The 21,968-nt window shown below is 34.3% G+C and overlaps 1 protein-coding gene across 26 annotated transcripts in view; it reads right to left on the reverse strand.

Moving 5' to 3' along the window:
- Positions 1-21,968, reverse strand: part of DGKB (diacylglycerol kinase beta) — an 829,810-nt gene that overhangs the window by 424,848 nt on the left and 382,994 nt on the right. For 25 of the 26 annotated variants that reach the window (NM_001350722.2, NM_001350711.2, NM_001350717.2 and 22 more), the window contains 3 exons: positions 13,156-13,241; positions 10,966-11,055; positions 4,316-4,476 (listed from right to left, as the gene is read on the reverse strand). In NM_001350722.2, the coding sequence (NP_001337651.1) occupies positions 4,316-4,476; positions 10,966-11,055; positions 13,156-13,241 (337 nt within the window). Of the gene's footprint in view, positions 1-4,315; positions 4,477-10,965; positions 11,056-13,155; positions 13,242-20,527; positions 20,617-21,968 lie in introns of those variants that run through there. The other variant, XR_001744571.2, reaches the window with a different exon arrangement.

Below are 21,968 nucleotides of genomic sequence, written 5' to 3' on the forward strand. Positions count from 1 at the left end.
TTATATAGGTCATGTGTATTTTTTATTAATTCTTAGATACTTTCAATTTTTTTGTTATTGTTTCTGGAAAGTCATTGATTATTGCTAATATAAGCATATACTAGTGAATATTTAAGTTGATTTTATATTTGGCAAATTTGCTATAATCTCATACTAGTCATAATATATTTTCAATTAGGTATATATTTTTTCAATTGGAATATATATAAATATATATTTATCATTATTTTTATTACTTTTTTAAATTTTTTGTTTTTCACCATATGTTGTTTACTTATAATTCTCTATAGAGTATTTTTGCAAAGTCAATTTTTCAATAGGTCTGATTAACTTTTCTCAATAATGCAGCTTTCAGTTTTGCTAACATTACGAATTTTTGTTGTTGTTGTTACTCTCTGCCATTTTCTGTCTCATTTCTATTATAGCTTTCCTTTTCAAGTTTTTTGGTTTTGTATCATTTCTCTTTTTCAAACACCTTGACTTTTTGTATTTAAATACAATTGACCCCTGAACAACATGGGAGTTAGGGGTGCTGACCACTCTTGCAGACAAAAAAATTGGAGCATAACATTTGACTACCCAGAAACTTAACAACTAATACTCTACTGTTGACTGGAAGCCTTACCAATAACATAAAGCCAATTAATATATATTTTGTATGTTATGCATATTATATACTGTATTCTTACCAGAAAGTCAGCTAAAGAAAAGAAAATGTTAAGAAAATTATAAGAAAGAGAAAATATATATACTATTCATTAACTGGAAGTTGATCATCATAAAGGTCTTTATCTTCATCATCTTCAGATTGAGTAAGTTAAAGGGGAGGAAGAAGAGAAGGGGTTGATCTTGCTCTCCCAGAGGTGGCAGAGGCAAAATAGGTGGAGAAGGTAAAAGGGGAGGCAAATTACACTGGGTATAACTTTTATTGAAAAAAAAATCGATAAGTTGACCAGTGCCGTTCAAACCTGTGTTGTTCAAAGGTCAAGTGTATTTCTGTTTCCTAATATAAGGGTTTTACAACCTCGACACTATTGACATTTTGAGCTGTATAGCTGTATAATTCTTTACTTTGTATTTGAGGTGTTGTCCCATGCAGTAAGCGTATTTAGCAGCATTCCTAACTTTACCTACTAGTTAGCAAAAAAACCCTGCTTTAGTCATGACAATCAAGCAGACATTGCCAAATGTCTTCCAGGAAGAGGCAAAATTCTCCTCTGTTGAGAACCACTGGAAATTGACCAAAGCATATAAAAAAAATGAGAAATGTTTATTTAGGAAAAACTACTGAGCCTCAGATAAGAACTCTCTAATTAGTGATATTTCAGATTTGGGTTGCTTCATTAGCCTTCAGCTCCCTGGGTGCTGTAGTTCTATCAGAGTGGAATAAGCTAAGAAAACAAGTAGATTCATTGTCAGTGGAACTGACTTGATTTGAAATGGAAGCCAGAAAATCTCTATGGCCTAGAACATTGTTTTACAACTTACACTTACAGTAGTGATATCTGTGGCAAATGAACAGGGAGAGCCAGTGTCATAGCTAGCCTGAGTTTGTGAAACTGACTTTAGGGCCAGCAGCTAACCAGCAGATTGGCCAGAGATTTAACAAGAGATCTCGGAATCAAACTTTCATATGGGCTGTGATAAACTTCTATATATTCCTGGCTGTCTGAAAATCTGTATGGATTTGCAAGGCTACACAAATGCTCAGAAGAGACAAAAGAGGATCCTAGTTATCTACACATCCTTGGTTAAATGAGAGGTTTTGTACATGAGCGGAAGAGACGAAAGAAAGGCCAGATTATATTAAAAGCCGAAGTGATTTCTAATTGCCTGAACTTTGAATGTATTCTTCAGTGACCATATGGATGCGATGACAAAGAAAAGAAGACTTACTGGCTCAAAGTGTTTGAGCGCAATCTCTAGACAACCATTTTGACACAGGGGTGATCTCTAGGAAAGCAGTATACACCATAAGAAAGAAAGGCTCCACAGGTAAGTCACTAAATAGACAAACATAGGAACAATGATAACCACTGTGGGCAGATAAAAATCCAGAGAATTAAAGATATAAACAATTTTCAGTATTCAACAAAAAACGAGGAGATATGCAAAGGAATAGGAAAGTGTGTCACACATTTAGGGAAATAACAAGCAAACAAACAAGGTCTCTGATGGGGCACAGATATTTGACTTCACAGACAAATACTTCCAAACAGATATTATAAATATGTCAAAAGAATGAAAAGAAACACCATTTAAAGAATAAAGTATAGGCCGGGCGCGGTAGCTCATGCCTGTAATCCCAGCACTTTGGGAGGCCGAGGTGGGCGGATCATGAGGTCAGGAGATCCAGACCATCCTGGCTAACCCCGTATCTACTAAAAATACAAAAAAAAAAAAAAATTAGCCGGGCATGGTGGCGGGTGCCTGTAGTCCCAGCTACTCGGGAGGCTGAGGCAGGAGAATGTCGTGAACCCAGGAGGTGGAGTTTGCAGTGAGCCGAGATCGTGCCACTGCACTCCAGCCTGGGTGACAGAGCGAGACACCATCTCAAAAAAAAAGAAAAAAAAAAGAATAAAGTATAAAGTATAGTAACAATGACTCTCCAAATAGAAAACGTTAATTAAAGATACAAAATTATAAACAAAAGAACCAAGTAGAAATTCTGGAGTTAAAAAGTCTGGTAACCAAAACAAACAAAAAATCCTAAGAGACTTAAGAGACAGGCATCATTAATATCTAAAGATTGGAAACAATCAATATGTCCACCAATTGGTGAAGGGATAACCAATATTTGATACCTCCATGCCACAGAATCCTATTCAACAGCAAAAAGGGAAACAATATTTATACAGTTCATATGAGTGAACTCAAAAACTTCATGCTAGGTGAAGGACTCCAGATGCAAAACTCCTATATTGTGTGATTTTAAAAATTATTTTCCCATAAGTTTTTGGGGTACAGTGGTATTTGGTTACATGAGTAAGTCCTTTGTGAGATTTTAGATATTTTTAAATATAGAATGTCCATAAAAGACAAATCTTAGAGGCAGAAAGCCAATCAATTCCTTCCTGAAACTGGGAAAAAGAGCCAAGATTGAATAAAAATGGGCATGAGGGTTCTGATTTGCGTAATAAAAATGTTCTAAAATTGGATTAATTTACTAAAATCATTAAAAAGTACACTTACAATGAATGAATTAGGTTGTGTGTAAGTGATACACTAAGAAAGCTGTTAAAAATACTGTTTTTATACCAACGTGAATAGGAGGGCTTCTCTGGATCAAGACACATTGCATTTTTCTTTCAAATAATAATAGTCATTACAGTATTAGTAACCATTGTATATTTAGCCTTCATCATGTACCACTCTATGAGATTCTTTAAATGTACAATCATATTTGTAACTCTATGAGAGAGGAAATAATAACCAGCATGGCACAGATAAATAAATAGATACTGAGATTAAATAATTTGCTTAAAGACTTTTACCCAGGTAGCTTACCTCTTAAGTTCATGGACTCAACCAATGCTTTCTATATTCTACTAGCCTTTTTATAATCTATCTCTGTGTGTGTGTGTGTGTGTGTGTGTGTGTGTGTGTGTGTATGAGATGTGACATGACATAAAATTAGCATGGGATGACATACATTAAATTTAATGTAATGCTTTATTTTCTATATTTTTAGATTTCATAATCATTGGCTAAAAATATATATAAAATCACTATTAAAATTATTCCTTTAGGATTAAAATTTTAATAACTATTTCAACTGCCATATAATATTTTACTCTGTGTAAGATTCTAAAAGAAATGAAATGAAAAGCCAGCCTTCTGACTTATTAATCACTTGAGAATAGTAGCAGGATTTTTTGTAGACTTTTCATAGATTTTTAGTAAGTTATAATGATTTTATAAAATGCATCTCAAAGTAAGATAAAATTTAACGCAATATTTTCACATTTTCAATAATATGGAGTTTTAGCTTATACTCTAAAACTTGTAAGTATATTAAATCATTCTAAGCTTCATTTTAGTAACACAAATAAACCAATTACAAAGAATATAGTTTTTTTCCTTTGCTTAAGACATGAAAAATATGTCAATTGCTGATACTCTGACTTCAAATTGGTAAGCGATGATAATAATGATAGTCATTAGAGCAATAATAATTGCCTATTAGAAGAGATGTTTTGATGGCACAAAAGGTAAAATAAGTTATTTATAATCAGTAAATTTTCATAGTTTAAAAGTTTTCTCACTGTGATTATACAGTACAGGTACAAAGGTAAAATTTAGTGGAGAATCTTACCACGCCAATGGAAAAGTAATTATTGATGATACTGTAAGGCACTGGGTCTCCTTTCTCATCTTTGTCATTAGGTATGACTTCAAACTTCCACCTGTCCAACATGATTTCTGTGCTGTTTTCAATGTCTTTTAGAATTTTCATCAGATTCTCACCTTCGTAACCTAGTGGGAAAAAAAAATACCTTGAGAAAAGAACTCTAACCAAATAAAAAAGCTGTATTTTTATGTTTCAGTGTGCTTATGCATATGTAATATTCTAAAGGTAAATAATGATTTTGAAGCACATTCTGCCACCAAATGAAGAATTAATTATAAGATTATACTCATACCCACATTTAATTCTTAACTTTAATTGGTAACATGTACTGTATTTCTCTTTTTGTGGTGCAAATTCTCAGCATATACAACTGCCAAGTGAACATTTCTACTGTATTCCCCACAAAACTTTATACCAATAGATTCAAAACTGAATGAATTCTCTGCTTCCATATCTTCCTCCTGGGCAGCTGACTTCACAAAGACACCATCCTCTACCCAGCTGCTAAAGTCAGAAACGTGGATGACATTTTAGACTTTTCCCTTTCCATCACTCTCTTACCCTCACCTTTTCCCGTCTAGTGATATAAAACTTTCAATTTAAGTAAAAGGTCCTACTTTTTGTAAGCTTTAAAATTTCGTTTCTTATTCTGTCTACTCAGGGTGTCCCTTTTCTTTTTGGCTGGTTTGCATCTATTTCTTTGGCATTGTTTTATATTTGCTAATACTACTTCCCAGTGCTGCTGCTTATGCCTGTAGTCTCAGCTACTCAGGAGGCTGAGGCGGGAGGACTACTTGAGGCCAGGAGTTCCAGGCTGCAGTGAGCTATGATTGCACCACTGTATCCCAGCCTGGGTGACAGAGTAATATTCCCTGTTTAAAACAATAAAATTAAATAAAACTAATAAATTTGCTAACACTTCTTTCTGGAAAGCACCCTTTCAAAATAATGGCTCAGATGCCCCTCTCACAGTCCGCTATACGCAGTTCTCAAAACTAGCCCTATCTTAGAACTAGTACACCACATTGTCATTACTTGTGTTTTTCTCACTACAGGTCCCTCTTAACCCAGCCTGCAATAGAGTAAATGCTCAACAAATCAATTTTTTAATGAATATATGATAGACGGTCAACATGACCTGAAAATAAAAGTCTTGTCAATATTACATTCTCAATATTCAATTTATTTGTAGGTAGATAACATTATAGTTATCACTGCAGCCTAACCCTGACAGAGTTACTGTTTTTGTTTCTGAATCTTCCTCAACATTAGTTTCCTTCCCTGTAAAAACCTTAGGGTTCTTGTGAAGATTAAGCAAGATAATGCCTAAAAAGTTCTCAGTACATGAGTCCTAAAACAGAGAATAAAAAGTTCTCAGTAATATTTTACTACTGATGATGATACCATCAGAATTTGAAATATTGTACTAAGTTAAATCATCTCTCTTTTCACCCACACAAAAGCACACACATAGTCCTAAAATGATTATTTTGAGTCGGAACAACATTTTCAGTTTTTATTTTTTTCTGTTCATTATTTAATTGTTGAACAAGGAAATGCCAGAGGCTATGAGTCCTCATTAGAGCTATTAGCATACATATCATTGAATAAACTCATTGGGTTAAAAGAAAACAGGCACTCTCATATACCAAAATTCCCTAAAGAGGAATACGTTACACTTAAGGTGTATCTGTTCAATTAACTATTAGAAGGTGAAAGCCACCAGAAACTAGAAATACCTCTTCTGGAGCTCATCATCACTTCTTACCTTACACAGGTTTAAAAAGTAATTACTCGCTACTTAATACATACAGTAAAGGGTACAATAAGTAACGATTACATAAACATTGAAAATATTAAATATTATTTCAGAAGAGATTGGGTCTATTCAGGGTGGTATGGCCATAGACTAAATACTATTTAAAAAGCTATCATATATTTTACAGTATAATTTGAAGCTGTTAAGTATTAATAATATGCATATAACTGTACTCAGTGGCAAAACACTGAATGGCTTAAACTGCAAGATTACAATAATTATATTTACTAACATTTCATGTTTCTTAATAGTGCTACCTTATTTTAAATGTTTAATTAATTTCTAATTGTTAATTTCTTTTAAGAAGTATAAGTAATAGCTCCCCAAATAAATTATATACATATATATATTATTTTACCTACTGAATTAAGTAAAAAACACTTAAATATATTCATCTATTTTCCAAATTCTGCTTTCATGTCAGAATAAGCTTGATAGTCTCTAGGCATAAATTAATTTGCATATAATTATATATTATAATATAGGAGTATCGTGTGTGTGTATGTGTATACATATATACAATTAGCAGAAATACTAGTAAATAATAATGCTTTCAAAAAGGTTGAATTTTTTCTCAGTCATGTCTCAGGTTAATAGCAGCACCGTCCAACATAACACTGGAACAATGTAGGAACAGCAACCTAACCGGGAGAGAACATGATAGGAATGAATGTAGTGAAAATCAATTACCACATCTAGATTGTAGCAGGGTCACGCAGCTTAAAATCTTTACCACTGGATATGTGTGTAGGGATTTTTATGACTAAACATGAAAAAGGCTGGTTTAAATCTGTCTTCTAGCCAAGCAAAAGTAGAAAGAGGCAATAAATAAATCTTGAGAATTACAACATCTGCAATTCAGAAGTGATTCACATAGATAAACTCTGAACTGTAGTCCCCCATTTAACAAATATCTTTTCCCTACTTCTTGTATGTATCTATGCCCAAGATTGTTAAATAATGATAAGTAACTATTAATAGGGTTCCTGTACCCAAGAAGATCATGATTTTAAAAAAGACAAATCAAATCCACTAAATATGCCAGCAAAAGATTTTTACAGAAAAGAATAATGCTATTTTACTTTCATTATTTTGGTTTAAAGCCTGTAATCAATCCAGGCTAAGAAACAAAATGAAAACATGATTAATATTTATTTTATATTTAATGATATTATGTTATAATGACTGAATCTAAAAAGTCATAGAAATTTTTGCAAATGAAAATCACATAAAGAAATGCAACAACAAATCTGTATAAAAGTGTGTTCAGGCCAGGTGCGGTGGCTCATGTCTATAATCCCAGCACTTTGGGAGGTCAAGGCGGGTGGATCACGAGGTCAGGAGATCAAGACCATTCTGGCTAACACGGTGAAACCCTGTCTCTACTAAAAGTACAAAAAATTAGCCTGGCAAGGTGGCGGGCGCCCGTAGTACCAGCTACTCGGGAGGCTGAGGCAGGAGAATGGCGTGAACCCGGGGGGCGGAGCCTGCAGTGAGCTGAGATTGCGCCACTGCACTCCAGCCTGGGCCAAAGAGTGAGACTCCGTCTCAAAAAAAAAAAGTGTGTCCAATTTACAACTATTACTTGCCTCCTTATTCTACACAAACAAGATTTTCCTTGCAATTAAATTTTTGTTAAGAGAGACTAATGATTGCCAGAAATTTACAAAAAGAATGCTAATTAAGCTAGAATATCCTACATTCTTACAGTGTCAACTTTTCCAAAATATGAAAATATATTCCTATAAAAAAGAGGCTTCAAGTCAATAGATTCCCTGAATCTTAAGTGAACCAAATGATTATTGGTTGAATGAAGTACTTTCTTCTACAAATATTAAGCATAATAATAATTACTGCAACTGCATAAAGTACTTAACACAAACATTGATATGGTTTGGCTCTGTGTCCCCACTCAAATCTCATTTTTAGTTGTAATCCCCATAATCCCCACGTGTCAAGGGAGGGACCTGGTGGGAGGTGATTAGATCATGAGGGTTGTTTCCTCCATGCAGTTCTGGTGGTGGTGAGTGAGTTCTCATGAGATCTGATGGTTTTATCAGGGACTATTTCCCCTTTGCTCATTTGCTTCTCTCACCTGCTGCCATGTAAAAAATGCCTTTGCTTCTCCTTCACCTTCACGATTGTAAGTTTCCTGAGGCCTCCCCAGCCATTTGGAAGTGGGAGTCAATTAAACCTTTCTTTATAAATTACCGAGTCTTGGGTATGTCTTTATAGCAGTGTGAGAACAAACTAATACAAACACTGTGCAAACAAGTTATCGGTTTAGCACGAGAACCTACAAGGCACTGTTATTTTCTTCAAATTCTGATGAGGAATCTACAGCACACAATTGTTAAGTAACTTGCTCAAAGTTACACACCTGTCAAGAAATAATCCCACCGTAAAGCATATTTCTTTGTTAATAATCTCTAGCAAATGGCTTCTCCATTTCCCTAATTGCTCAACTTGGGCATCTTGATACCTTGCTTTCCCTAAAATTCCTAACCAATCCACTGGTAAGTACAATTAAGCTAAGCCTGAAAATGTACCTCCAGTTTGGCTACTTGCCTGATTTAAATCATGTAAGCTCTAGTCTGCTCACTTTATTATGCAATTGGGACAACTATAATAGAAGTTCTCATTTGGAGAACTATAGTTCTGCATGTTTTCACATTTTCTGACCAGTTTATTTTCTACCCCCAAATTAATCTGTTTTTGAAAATGTGTCAGTGTGTTACTCTGCTTCTGAGACTTTCGAAGCTTCACTTTGCATGACAAATTCAATCAAGTAAAACTCTCACAATGACAAATAGGTTCCTGCATTATCTGGCTCCCAATTGTCTTTCCAAAGTCATAGTACTCACTATCCCTAATTGCCCACCATGCACTGCTGCTTCAGCAACCCCACCTGCATTCCTTCCTTCAGTCCTTGAAACACAGGGAGCTATTTCTCCTCCTTCTTATATTTTAGGTCCAGTTTTAATGTTACCTCCTCAGAGAGACCTTCTTGGCCATCTAGCTAGATAGTTCATCTCTATTATTCATTCTTCTGATTCTTTGATATTTTATAATTATATATTTCATTATTGTTCAATTTATTTTCAATTATACTCAACGAAAATGTAATCTCCAGAAGGATAGAAGCCATTTGTTTATTTCCTCACTGTATATTTAGCACCTAGAACAGTGCCAACACATATCAGACACTCAAAGGGAATTCATCACTAATAGATTCTTTGACACATGCTACAGTCCTTGCCTTTGTCCATTGTTAGTGCTTTGTATGTGGTTTCACAAGAATTATTAGAGTATGCCAAATATGGACTTCTTTAACAAATTTGAGATTTAGGCCATTTGTTAATCTGGAAGCAAAAATAAAATTATTAATTTTCATATACATCAAATATATGTTCCAGGAGAACATGGCAAGAAGACTCACATATTTTCCTTCTTTTTAATCTATGCACTTGTATGAACACTGGCAAATACAAGTATCTTATCAGAAATGGTGATGTCTTTATTCATTTCTTTAGATTGCATGAACTCTAATGCAACTCATGAAAATACTCCTGAAGTATATTCTTACTGAACATCCCAAATAGACTACATACTAAGCTCTTGACTTAGTCAAGCACGTATACAGCTTAGAGCTAGTTGGTCAGATATTCATGGAATTATTCTCCAACTTTGCCGTAAATCAGAGTTACTTAGGGAGTTTGTTTAAAAAAAAAAATCATCTGCTCAGGTCCCAATTCCAGATATTTCCATTCAGCATGTCTGGGGTGGGGTCAGGCCACTGTATTTTTAACAAGTGCCCCAGGGACTCTGTTCACCTTGTCTTAGTAGACACTTTTCAAACTTCTCTAAGTGAGCTTTGATGCTAAAAATATTTAGCATTCAAGTCCTGCTTCTTTACCAAAGTCTGATGGTGTTTAGTGATCTTACCTAGTGGTGTTCAGTGATCTTCAGATAAATATAGCCTATTAGTGACTCTGCAAAATGTTTTAAGACCTCATCTCCAAATATTCTCTCTTTGCTTACCCTACTCCATCGACACTATTTCAGTTTCAGTTCCTTGAATATGTCAAGTGCCTTCCCACCTCTGGGCCTTTGAACTCAATGTTCCCTCCGCCTATGAAGTTCACACCCAGCTTTACATGGCTGTGTCATTATCTAGCTAGCAGTTTTTTCTTCTATGTCATATCCTCAGTGAGGTCTTTCCCTATAATGATCATCTGTTTACTTGTTAGTGTAAGGTCTCACATATGATTTTATGTGCCACTAGAAATCAAGGTACTTTTGTTTTTCTTTTGTCAACTCTGTATCCAAAGTGCAGAGCACAGCTGGCTAGCATAGAGTGAGTCTCAAAACTGAGTATTATTTAACGTATTCACTCCTGGGAAACTAATTCATTAGCCTTTCATCTTTCCTTTGTTTGTGATTTTACCTCCCAACTTATAAATGAAAAGTATAAAAATTACCTTGAAGTGCATCCATGTGTACCTTATTTTCTAAACAAAAAAATCAAAAACCAAAACCAGAGATGTTTGGAAACTTGACCTCCTTTAGTTTAAGTCTCTATTTAATATCACATTAAAACCCAATACCCATGGTCTCTTTTTTCCACTATTTGTTCTTCTATCCAAGACTATTGTTCAAAATCATATATTATATATACCACATCAGTTATCTTCACTGAAATCATATCGTTTTTGTTTCTTTTCTTTTCTTTTTGTTTTGCAAGGGAAAGGGGTGTTGTGTACTGTTTCTGCTTTTGTTGTTGCAGCTGCTTTACCTCCTCCCCATCGCAGGCATCTTGCTAGATCATTGCCAGTCCCAAGAGGCAGAATCGCAACTGGAGGATGCTTGCCTACATTGGCCTTTTCTGCAGAATAAAAAAAAATACAAATAAAGAAAATTTTAAGTTCAGATAAAACGACGGAAATAAAAAGATAGCCTGATGACATTAAATGAAGGAATTCCAATAGGTACTCATAAACAAAACATAATTGTAGTTTTAGATATACACAATAATGAATTATGGATAATTTGTATACATTTGTAGCAATTGATAAGACACAAATACTATTATTCACGGAATGATGGAATTTTCAAAACTCAGGCAAGAGGAAAGCTTTTTAAATATCTTAACTCAGCTAAAAATTGTGGTGTGTCTTATCTCCACTACAATCCTCAGGGATATTATTATATACAGCATAAGATTACAATACAGAGACACAACTAGGATGGATGGGTAGGTTCCTACATAAAGTCCTTTTGCAACATCAATTCTAGGTACATTTTACTTAAAGGAATAAAATATTTGAAAACTGTTGAATTATAAAAGTGAGTAAATTGCTAACAATGTCCTTGACTTTTTCCCACCCATGGTGCTGCTTTGTGTCAGAGCAAATGGAACACAACGTTAACAGCTGGAATACAACGAGATCAGCAGGTTTTCCATGAGATTAATCTTTACATCACATAATGCTTTGGGTTCAGAGCAGTAAAGATCTCTGCCGCTGACATCCCATATGCTTTGGTTTGAATCATTGCATGCCTTGAATTAATCTCACAAATGTATATCACTTTCTTTTATTTGTTTCTTCCTCCTTAGCCCCTCAAAATCAGTGTACATATGTGTGTAGGGATAGAGGGGATAGATAATGTAGGGAAATGTCACAATGAAATAGCCGACAATAAGATTTTTGAGGGCTAAAACAAGCTAAGAATTCCTGCTGTTTTTCCTCTAAAATCCTTACAAGTCCTCAGATACTTTTCCAGCTAACTCATTAACTTTTGTAATTCTTGAATTCTGGTTGTCTTCTCAGATAAAACATATAAATATGATTTACATTGTTTAATGGAAGGCCAGATCAGAATTTTCACTGTTTCTTTTTAAATCAAATATTAGTAGATTAAAGCTGTTAGATCCTTATCAAAAGTGTTGCCAACATGTATTTTTCTTATTTTGAATATTTTTAGTGTATGCATAGACAGAATGTTTTCTGCATTGACTAAATAGGTGTCTGTTTCAATTTATACAGAAGGTAAAACTTCTTTTGAATCAATTCGTTTTATGAAAGGGCCTGTTTTAAACAAAGAATTGATCAATGCGGTAACTGAAATGAGACCAAAAAGAGTCAATATTTGTTTTGGATTTATTTCCTCATAAAGGCCAATTCATGGTCTCTTTTTCTAACTAGTAACCAGTTCCAACAACTGACTAGATCTGAAAAAGCAAATAATTTTCCTGAATTTATACTTTTTCTTGTGCTGCATACTTACCTTATATCCTCAGTGATGTTCCTGTATTATTTGCTCATAAAAATCGAGCGTTTTCAGTTTAAATAGAGAGGCAATATAGAATAAGGCTTAACTGTGCATTCTAATCTCAGCTCTCTCAGTTCACAGCTATAAGACTTTGTTGTAGTTATTTACTTTTTTCCAAGTTTTAGGTTCCCTATCTCTACATGGGATTATTAATACTATCTGTATCATAGAGTTGTGAGGAATAAACAAGATAACATGATGAATAAAAATTAGCTATGATGATGATGATGATGATGGATGATAACGATACAAATGTATACAGAGGGTAAGGTTTTGAGGGTCCATGTTTTAAAAACGTAAGCACATCAATTTCGCACAGACTTTATCACAAATACTAAGACTGCTCCTTCAGTTCCTTGTCTGGGGCACACAAACAATCTGATTTCCTAGAGCCCCTGAAAACAACTCTGAAAATTTGGTAAACACTGTAAGAAGTGGATTAGAAAGGAAGGACTTCTATGTACTTCTAAACTATTTTGCCAGTTGAATTTTTGAACTACAGAATAATAAGTTAAACCAGTGTGCAACCTTCCAGATGTCCAATTATATCACTGCTTCCAAAGATAATGATACAAGCAATAGACACATAGATGAAACAGGATTTAAAGCTATTGCTCTCTCCCCAGCCATATTAAGTATGTGTCTGCATTACCTATGCAATCCAAAACCCAGCCCACGGTTCCATCTCCACCACAGGCTAACACTCTGAAGTCAGGAACATCACGGAAAAAGTTTAACCTGAAAAATAAGCATGTTATGGCACATGATTAATAGTTTAAAAATAAGATGTTTTCAGTTTTGTATCATTAACATTTTACCCGATGAAATACGTTTTTATTTTATAAAAACTGTAAAATATCTCAGTGATAACTTACATATCCTTTAATCCTATTTTATAATTATATATTCAAGATTCTATAATTTAAAAATATTTTGTAATTACATATTCTAGATTCCATAATGAATATACTCTTTTTCTTTAATAAACTCTAAAATTTTAAGGATAAAATTAGTAAATTATAATAATTTTCATTGATATTCTCCCAGATGTGATTTGCAGTTCGCATAACCCAGAATGACATATACTACATTATTTCATTTAATAAATTTCATCAATCCAAAATTATCTTTTGAGTGAATATATAAATGTGACAGTTATGTCAGTAAATATGTCTTTAACAATGTTCTACTTTCTCCATTACTGGGAGAAATTGATCAGACTGCAACTGGGGTTCTAGCCAACTTTCCTTTTGACTGAGAATCTGCAAATAGGAGGCAGGCTTCACCTTGTATTTTGACCTGGTTGACAGTGTTTTCCACCCAGGAACACTCTAGCCTAATTGCTGGGTCAGCTGCCATAAATACCCACTGCTTCTGCTGTTACTGCATGCAGGGTGCTTAATAATGCAACCTACCTTGGGAAAAGTCACAAAGGCAGGTAATGCAGCCAGCTATACAGTCATAGCCTATTTTATTGCAATAAAAAAATTGAAACAGGACAGAAATTTTGGTATGTTATGTGTCTCTTCACCTCCCTTGTCCCAAACATAACAACTGATAGTGATATAATATGCAACTATCCAAGGAATTTTTCTACGTACTTACGTATACAAATTTTCGTACATAAATCTTTATTACACACATATTTTCAACACGAATAAAACTGTGCTATACATACTGTTCATTAACTTGTGTGGTTTTATTTTAACTTCAAATATGTCTAAGAGAACTTTGTGTATCAGTATATAACATATGCATATGTCATGTGTTGCATTCTGTCAGATTATTATTTTTAAGCACTGCATCATGTTTTATAATAAGTTCATGTACTACAAGATAAAATGAATGATCTCTTTTTATGAATTTTTAAGCTATTTCCTGTGTCTCATTACTACAAAAAAGTATTGTATTTAACATTAGTTGAAGAACATTTGTGTAAATGTGCGCATGTGTTTTGAAGGCTACTCTAGAGAAAAATATTCCATTACATCATTATATCCCTCTGAATGGCTCCCACTGTCAAATATGCAAGGATTCATTTCCTTGCAACCACAAAACACTACATATGAACAACTTTATGATATGTCTTTAATAATAAGTGAAAGCCAATGTCTTTTTATTTGTTGTAAAATCACACTTCCCTGTTTACTAGTGAGTTCAGCATATTTTTATACATTTCCTGGAGATGCGTAACCTGTCCTATGAAAAGAACACTCAAAGATGTGCCTTTCTTTCTATTGAATTGCCTTTTTATTTTTTATTTTTATTTTTTTTTTGAGATGGAGTTTCACTTTTGTCGCCCAATATGGAGTGCAATGGTGCAATCTCGACTCACTGCAACCTCCTCCTCCTGGGTTCAAGGGATTCTCCTGCCTCAGCCTCCCAAGTAAGCTGGGATTACAGGTGCCTGCCACCACGCCTGGCTAATTTTTGTATTTTTAGTAGAGACAGGGTTTCACCATGTTGGCCAGGCTGGTCTCATACTGTTGACCTCAGGTGATCCATTCTCCTTGGCCTCCCAAAGTGCTGGGATTACAGGTGTGAGCCACCTTGCCGGGCGAGATGTCTTTTAATAATACTTTAAAACTCTTTGCATATTACAGCAATCTTCGCATTTAAATTTGCATCATTTAAAAAAATTTTGTCAAGGTAATACCAACACTGCATAAATATAATAAAATATGTATAAAAATTACTAAAACCCATCATCTGATTATAATATCCATGGATATTTAGAACAGGAAACTTTCATGCATTTTCTCATTTATTATATTGTGGATATTTAACCTTTGTGAGACATGTTGCAAATATTTTATTCGGTTCTAATACTCATTGTTTTGCTTATACTAATATATATACAATATAATAAACACATATGTACCAGTTGCCCATTCCAGGAAGTAGAACATTTCTAATAACTTACATATTTCTCTGTTTTCTTTCCCTATAGCACTGCCCTTTCTAATTTACAAAGGTGAGCACTACTCTGAATACTGAGTTACCACGTGTCTGACATAATCAACATGTGTCTTTCTACTTTTCCCACTTACATTGGTACTCAGATTCATTCATGTTGTAGCTGAAGCTTTTCCCACGTGTAGCTGAAGTTCTTTCTACTTCTACTGCTGTGTTAAATACCACTTACATGTCTTTTAAAATCCATGTCAATGGGCATTTCAACTGGTTTGCTTTACATTCTTGCAAAAAGTGCATTCTTGTACAGGCATACCTCATTGTATTACTCTTTATTGAGTTTAGCAGATACTGCATTTTTTACAACTTGAATGTCTGTGGCAACTCTGCTTCTAGCAAGTCTATCAGTGCCATGTTTTCCAACAGCACATGCTCACTTGGTGTCTGTGTCACATTTTTGTAATTATCGCAATATTTCAAGCTTTTTCATTATTATTATATCTGTTATGGTGATCTCTGATCAGTTATTATAGTAATTGCTTTGAGGTGCCATGAACCACGCCCATGTAAGACAGAGAACATAATTGTGAATGTTGTGTGTGTTCTGACTGCTCCACCCACCAGCGGTTCTCCTGTCTCTCTTTGTGTCCTCAGGCCTCTTAATTCCCTTAGACACAACAGTATTGAAATTAGGGAAATTAACAACCCTACAATGTCCTCTAAGTGTTCAAGTGAAAGGAAGAGTTGCATTTCTCTTTCAATCAAAAGCTAGAAATTATTAAGCTGAGTGAGTAAAGCATGTCAAAAGCACAGGCAGGCCAAAAGCTAGCCATTTTGTGCCAGTAAGCCAAGCTGTAAAAGCGAAGGCAAAGTTATTGAAGGAAATTAAAAGTGTTACTCCAGCGAACACACAAACAACAAGAAGGCGAAACAGCCTTATTGCTGATAGGGAGAATGTTTTAGTGGTCTAGACAGAAGATCAAAGGAGCCACAACATTCCCTTAAGCTAAAGCCAAGTCCAGAGCAAGCCCCTAACTCTATTCAATTGTATGAAGGCTGAGAGATGTGAGGAAGCTGAAAAATAGTTTGATGCAAGCAGATGTTGGTTCTTGAAGCTTAAGGAAAGAAGCTGTATAAACAGCAAGTGCTGAGGAAGAAGTGGCAGCAAATTATCCAGAAGATCTAGCTACAATTATTGATAAAGGTGGTACGCTAAACAACAATTTTTCAATGTAGACAACATAGCCTTCTAATGGAAGAAGATGCCATCTAGCACTTTGATAGCTACAAAGGAGAAGTCAATGCCTGGCCTCAAAGCTTCAAAGAACAGGCTGACTCTCCTGTTAGGGGCTAATGAGGCTGATGACTTTAAGTTGAAGCCAATGCTCATTTGCCATTATGAAAATCCTAGGGCCCCTAAGAATTATGCCAAACTTACTCTACCTGTGCACTATAAATGGTGGAACAAAGCGTGAGGGATATCGCATTTCTTTACAGCATGGTTTACTGAGTATTTTAAGTCCACGACTGAGACATATTTCTCAAAAAAAAAAAAAGATTCCTTTCAAAATATTATTTTCATTGACAATGTACCTGGTCACCCAATATTCTGATGGAGATGTGCAGAAAGATGAATGTTGTTTTCATGCCTGCAAACACAGCATACATTCTGCAGCTCGTCGATCAAGGAGTAATTCAACTTTCAAGTCTTATTTAAAAAATACATTTCATATGGCTATAGGTGCCACAGACAGTGATTCATTTTGGGGATCTGGGCAAAGTTAATTGACAACCTCTGTAAAGGATTTAATAATCTAGGTGTCATTAAGAACATTCATAATTCATGGACAGAGGTCAAAATATCAGCATTAACAAGAGTTTGGAAGAAGTTGATGCCAAGTCTCATGGATGACTTTAAAGGGTTCAAGACTTCAGTGGAGGAAGTCGCTGCAGATGTCATAAAAACAGCAAAAAGTAGAATTGTAAGTGGAGGCTGCATGTGACTGAATTGCCGCAATCTCATCATATTTGATGAGAATTGAATTTGAAAGGATGAGGAATTGACTTTTAGAGATAAGCAAAAAAAGAGGGTTTCTTGAAATGGAATCTACTCCTAGTAAAGATGCTGTGAACACTGTCGAAATGGTAACAAAGGATTTAGATTATTACATAAATTTAATTGACAAGGCAGCAGCAGGATTTGAGAAGACTGACTCAAATTCTGAGGGAAGTTCTACTGTGTATAAGATGCTAGCAAACAGCATCACATGCTAGAGAGAAATCTTTCATAAAAGTAAGTGTCCATCAATGGGTCAAACTTCATTGTTGTCTTATTTTAAGAAACTACTAGAGCCACCTCCACCTTCAGCAACCACCACTCTGATCATTTGGTTCCCATTAAAATCAAGGCTAAACTCTCTACCAGAAAAAACATTATGACTCCCTGGAGGCTCACATGATTGTTACTAATTTTTCGCAATGAATTATTTTTAAATTAAGGTATATACATTTTTTAAACCACAATGCTATTGCACATTTAATAGACAACAGTATAAACATAACTTTTATATGTACTGGGAAACGAAAAAATTTGTGTGATTCACTTTATTGTGATATTCACTTTATTGTGGTGGTGTGGAACCAAATCCACAATGTCTCCAAGGTATGCCTGTACGTACTTCCTAGTGCTTAAGGGTAGTGGCCACTTTAGAGTAATGCATATTAATATGCAACTTTACCAGATAACATCAATGTTTTTCGCAAAGAAGGTGCACCAATGTACAATGGATGTGCTCTATTGAATCCATTCTCTTTAACACTTGTCACGCTTTTTCATTTTATTTCTTATTTTTGTGAAATGCCTATTTATCCTTTTGGTTTCCATTATCTATTCCTTTTCACCTTGTTGGTTTGCAAAAAAATTTTACACGTCTTTGATTTTAGTCCTTTTTGAATAACTTTTTTTTCAAATATCTTCTACAAATTTAAAGTTTTTTCTTTTACTTTCATTAATGTGTATTTTAATGAATAAGAACCTAGTTTTAATATTCAATTTCATCATCCCTTTGATAAGTAGTCAGTACCTTAACTAGTCTTCTGTAAGACAAGCTTCCTTACTCAGAGCTCAGAATTCACATACACTCTCTTAAAATGTCAGTTTTACTTTTGACATAGAAATTCTTAGTTTGTTGTGGTGTGAAGTACTTTCTTTTCTTCTCTCCCCACTTTCTCCCATCTCCCCTTTATCCTGGCCTCCGGCCCTCCCTCTCTTCCTTTCTTACTCCCTTTCATCCTTCCTTTTGGCTGTAGTGGAGCACTTTTTTTCTATTTATTTTTTATCCATCTTTTCATTTATTGAATAATTCAACTTTCTACTATGCAAAGTCCATGATAAGTATTATTTCCACATATGGGTACATTTCTATTTCTATTCTCTATTGTGTTTTACTCACGACTTTGTCCATCTCTGCACTAGTACCATACTCTCGCAATTACTACAGCTTTCCAGTAAGTCCATATCTCAGGGCATGAAGAATCTTACCAATTATTTCTTCTTTTTTTCATGTACATTTAAACTCATCATATTTCACCAAAACTAAAATAATAGTAAGAAAAACCAATCATGATTTTGACTGAAGTTGCATTAAAACTATATATTAATTTTGGGAGAAATAACACACGTATAATATGAATTAAGTTTCCTTATTCATGAATGTAGTATTGCTCGATTTATTTACATATTCTTTAATATCCTTCAACAAAGATATAAATTTTCTACTAACAGGTCTTGCATATATTTTGTTAGATTTATTCTTCGTTGTTTTGTGGTTTTTGTTGGTATTTTAAACATTTAAAAATTATGTTTATTAATATTAATATTTTTGTTGCTGGCATATATAAACATATTTGAGTGTTATACATTGATTTTATAAATAATCATATTATCACTGTTTTTCTATTGCTTACATTTTGTTTGTGGATACATTTGGATTTCTATGTATGTAATTGTGGCATTTGCTACTAGCAATGGTATTATTAGTAATCTCTAGTCTTTATAATTGTTATTTCTTTCCCTGAGTCTTTTTCCTTGACAGAATTCCAACATATTGTTGAATAGGAGTATTCATAGTGAATATCCATATCTTGTTCCTGAAGATAAGAATTACTTTTGGAATCTGCCCATTTAGGATATCTGTTATTGAGATTTTATTTTTCTTTCTTTTTACTTTCCTTCTTTTTGATGGAGATTTTTTATGAGGTTAACAAGTTTCTCTTCTACTCCTATCATAAGAATTTTTACTATATAAAAATATTAAGTTTTTCTGCATTTTTGAGATTTGACAAGGTCTCTGTCCTTTAATCGGTTAGTGTGAGAATAAACATTTATATATTTCTGCATTATTAATCATTCTTGAAATCCTTTCAGGCACCCAAATTGATTCTTGTGTATTAATATTTTTAAGATAATTGAGTTTCTTTGCTAATATTTTGTTTAGAAATTTTGCATCAATCTTTATGAACAAATTGACCTATTTTTCTTCCTCATACCACTTTTGTCTACTTTTTAAAATTAAAATTATACCGCCTCATAAAATATGTTGCAGAGTATTCCCCATTTTACGATTTTTTGTGGAAGAATTTGTATAATTATTGAAGTTCTTTGAAAACTGGTAGCACTTGCATATAAAACCTAAATGTCGGGTCGGGGGAGGGGGGAGGGATAGCACTGGGAGATATACCTAATGCTAGATGACACGTTAGTGGGTGCAGCGCACCAGCATGGCACATGTATACATATGTAACTAACCTGCACAATGTGCACATGTACCCTAAAACTTAAAGTATAATAATAAAAAAAAAAACATTAAAGAGAAAAGTCTTACATCATTGTTTAAATTACTTTAGTAACTATTCTTAAAATTTATGATTTTAAATTCTCCTTAAGTCAGCTTTTTTCCAGCTATACTTCTGTAGCAATTTGATTCTCCCTCCTAGATTTTCAAACATTGGCACTGAAGCTTAAGAAAACTTTGTAAAACACGGCAGTAGCTGCAACATTTCCCACCGAGCTAACTGTTTCTGGTGAAAGCCTAACCATCCAGTTGACTCACCATTGTTCTTCTATTCCATGATGATGTTTCATCTGTTATTCATTCTTGTTTTCTTTAAAAATTGTCATCATTGGTTCTTCAGCAGCATCCTACCCCCAAACATAAACCCCATGTGACTGTCAGACCAGCTTACTCTCTGTAAATTGATTGCTAATCGGAAAATTTGACCTCTCTTTATCTCAATTTCTTGATCCATTCAATCCATGCAGTTTTCCCTAGAAACTCATTCATTCCTTACTACATTCATTCATTAATATCCTTGGGATTTATTTAGTGATTCTGACCCTCAGTTTCCATAACTTTAGAATAGAATTAACACCACGTGGTTTGTTGGGCTCTTTATATACACATAAAGAAAATGTGTATGTAAATACACCTTACTATTCACATGTTATTACTGATTTAATTATATTTTTTTCTTTATTAAAAGTAGTATAGGTATGTTTTAGGTCAGAGTGCCACTCCTCTATTTCCCCACCTCCTCCGCCTGCACTGTTCTGGCAGAATAGTCACAATTTTCTAACAAGCAGTAAGGAGAGTTTTTCTGCATGCAATCTGAAACTGTAGCTAGCGGACAATTGGGAGACCTGCCTACAGCACTGGAGACACAAGGTACAGAGGAAAACAGCTGTGATAGAAGACAAGTAAACTGAAGAGTCTCAGCAAGAGCCAAAATGCAGGGTCCTGCATGGCACTGACTTTTCACCCAGGAAGGCTGTGATGAGGAGCAGCTGTGAGGCTTCCACATTACAGGTCATCCTTCCAATGGGGAGAAGTGAGAAAATGGGGAGTGTCAGGAAGGATTTCACTCTGGGGAAACTTTTGTACTGCGTATTGTACTTTTTACCTATCAGTTCCACAGTGTTCCATGTGAAGAATGAATAAGCATGAACATTTTGCAATGAAATCATGCTTGGGTCCTGAATTTATTTGCACCATTTTATTAATTTTTTTGAAATTAAAAATTCAAATGATGTATGAAGAAAATGAATGATGATGAGTTTCCAATGTTGGCCTTTATAGCATTGATTCACCTAGAGAGTTTCCTATGTATCTCCAATAGCTATATTTGAAAGCAAGCCTATTATTTGGGTTTAGCAGCCCTCTGTCAGACACTTCTTTTTTTATCATATTTGCTCTATAATCACCACTATAACATTCCATAAAGTTTCAGTTATGCAAGATGAATAAATTCTAAGATCCACTGCACAACACTGTTCCTATAGTTAACGACACTTTTTTGTACATTTAAAAAGTTTTTAAGAATGTAGATCTAATGTTAATTGTTCTTACCACAACCACAACAAAAGAGCAGGTGGTGAAATTGTGATGCTTAATATTACTAAAAACAAATCCAGAAAATTTCATCTAAGATTCAGAGGCTTACTTTGTGTTAAGATAAAATTGATACAGAAAAGGCAGTAAATTTTCACTTGTACCT

This window comes from Homo sapiens, chromosome 7 (genome assembly GCF_000001405.40).
Source record: "Homo sapiens chromosome 7, GRCh38.p14 Primary Assembly".
In the NCBI taxonomy this organism is placed as follows: Eukaryota; Metazoa; Chordata; class Mammalia; order Primates; family Hominidae; genus Homo; species Homo sapiens.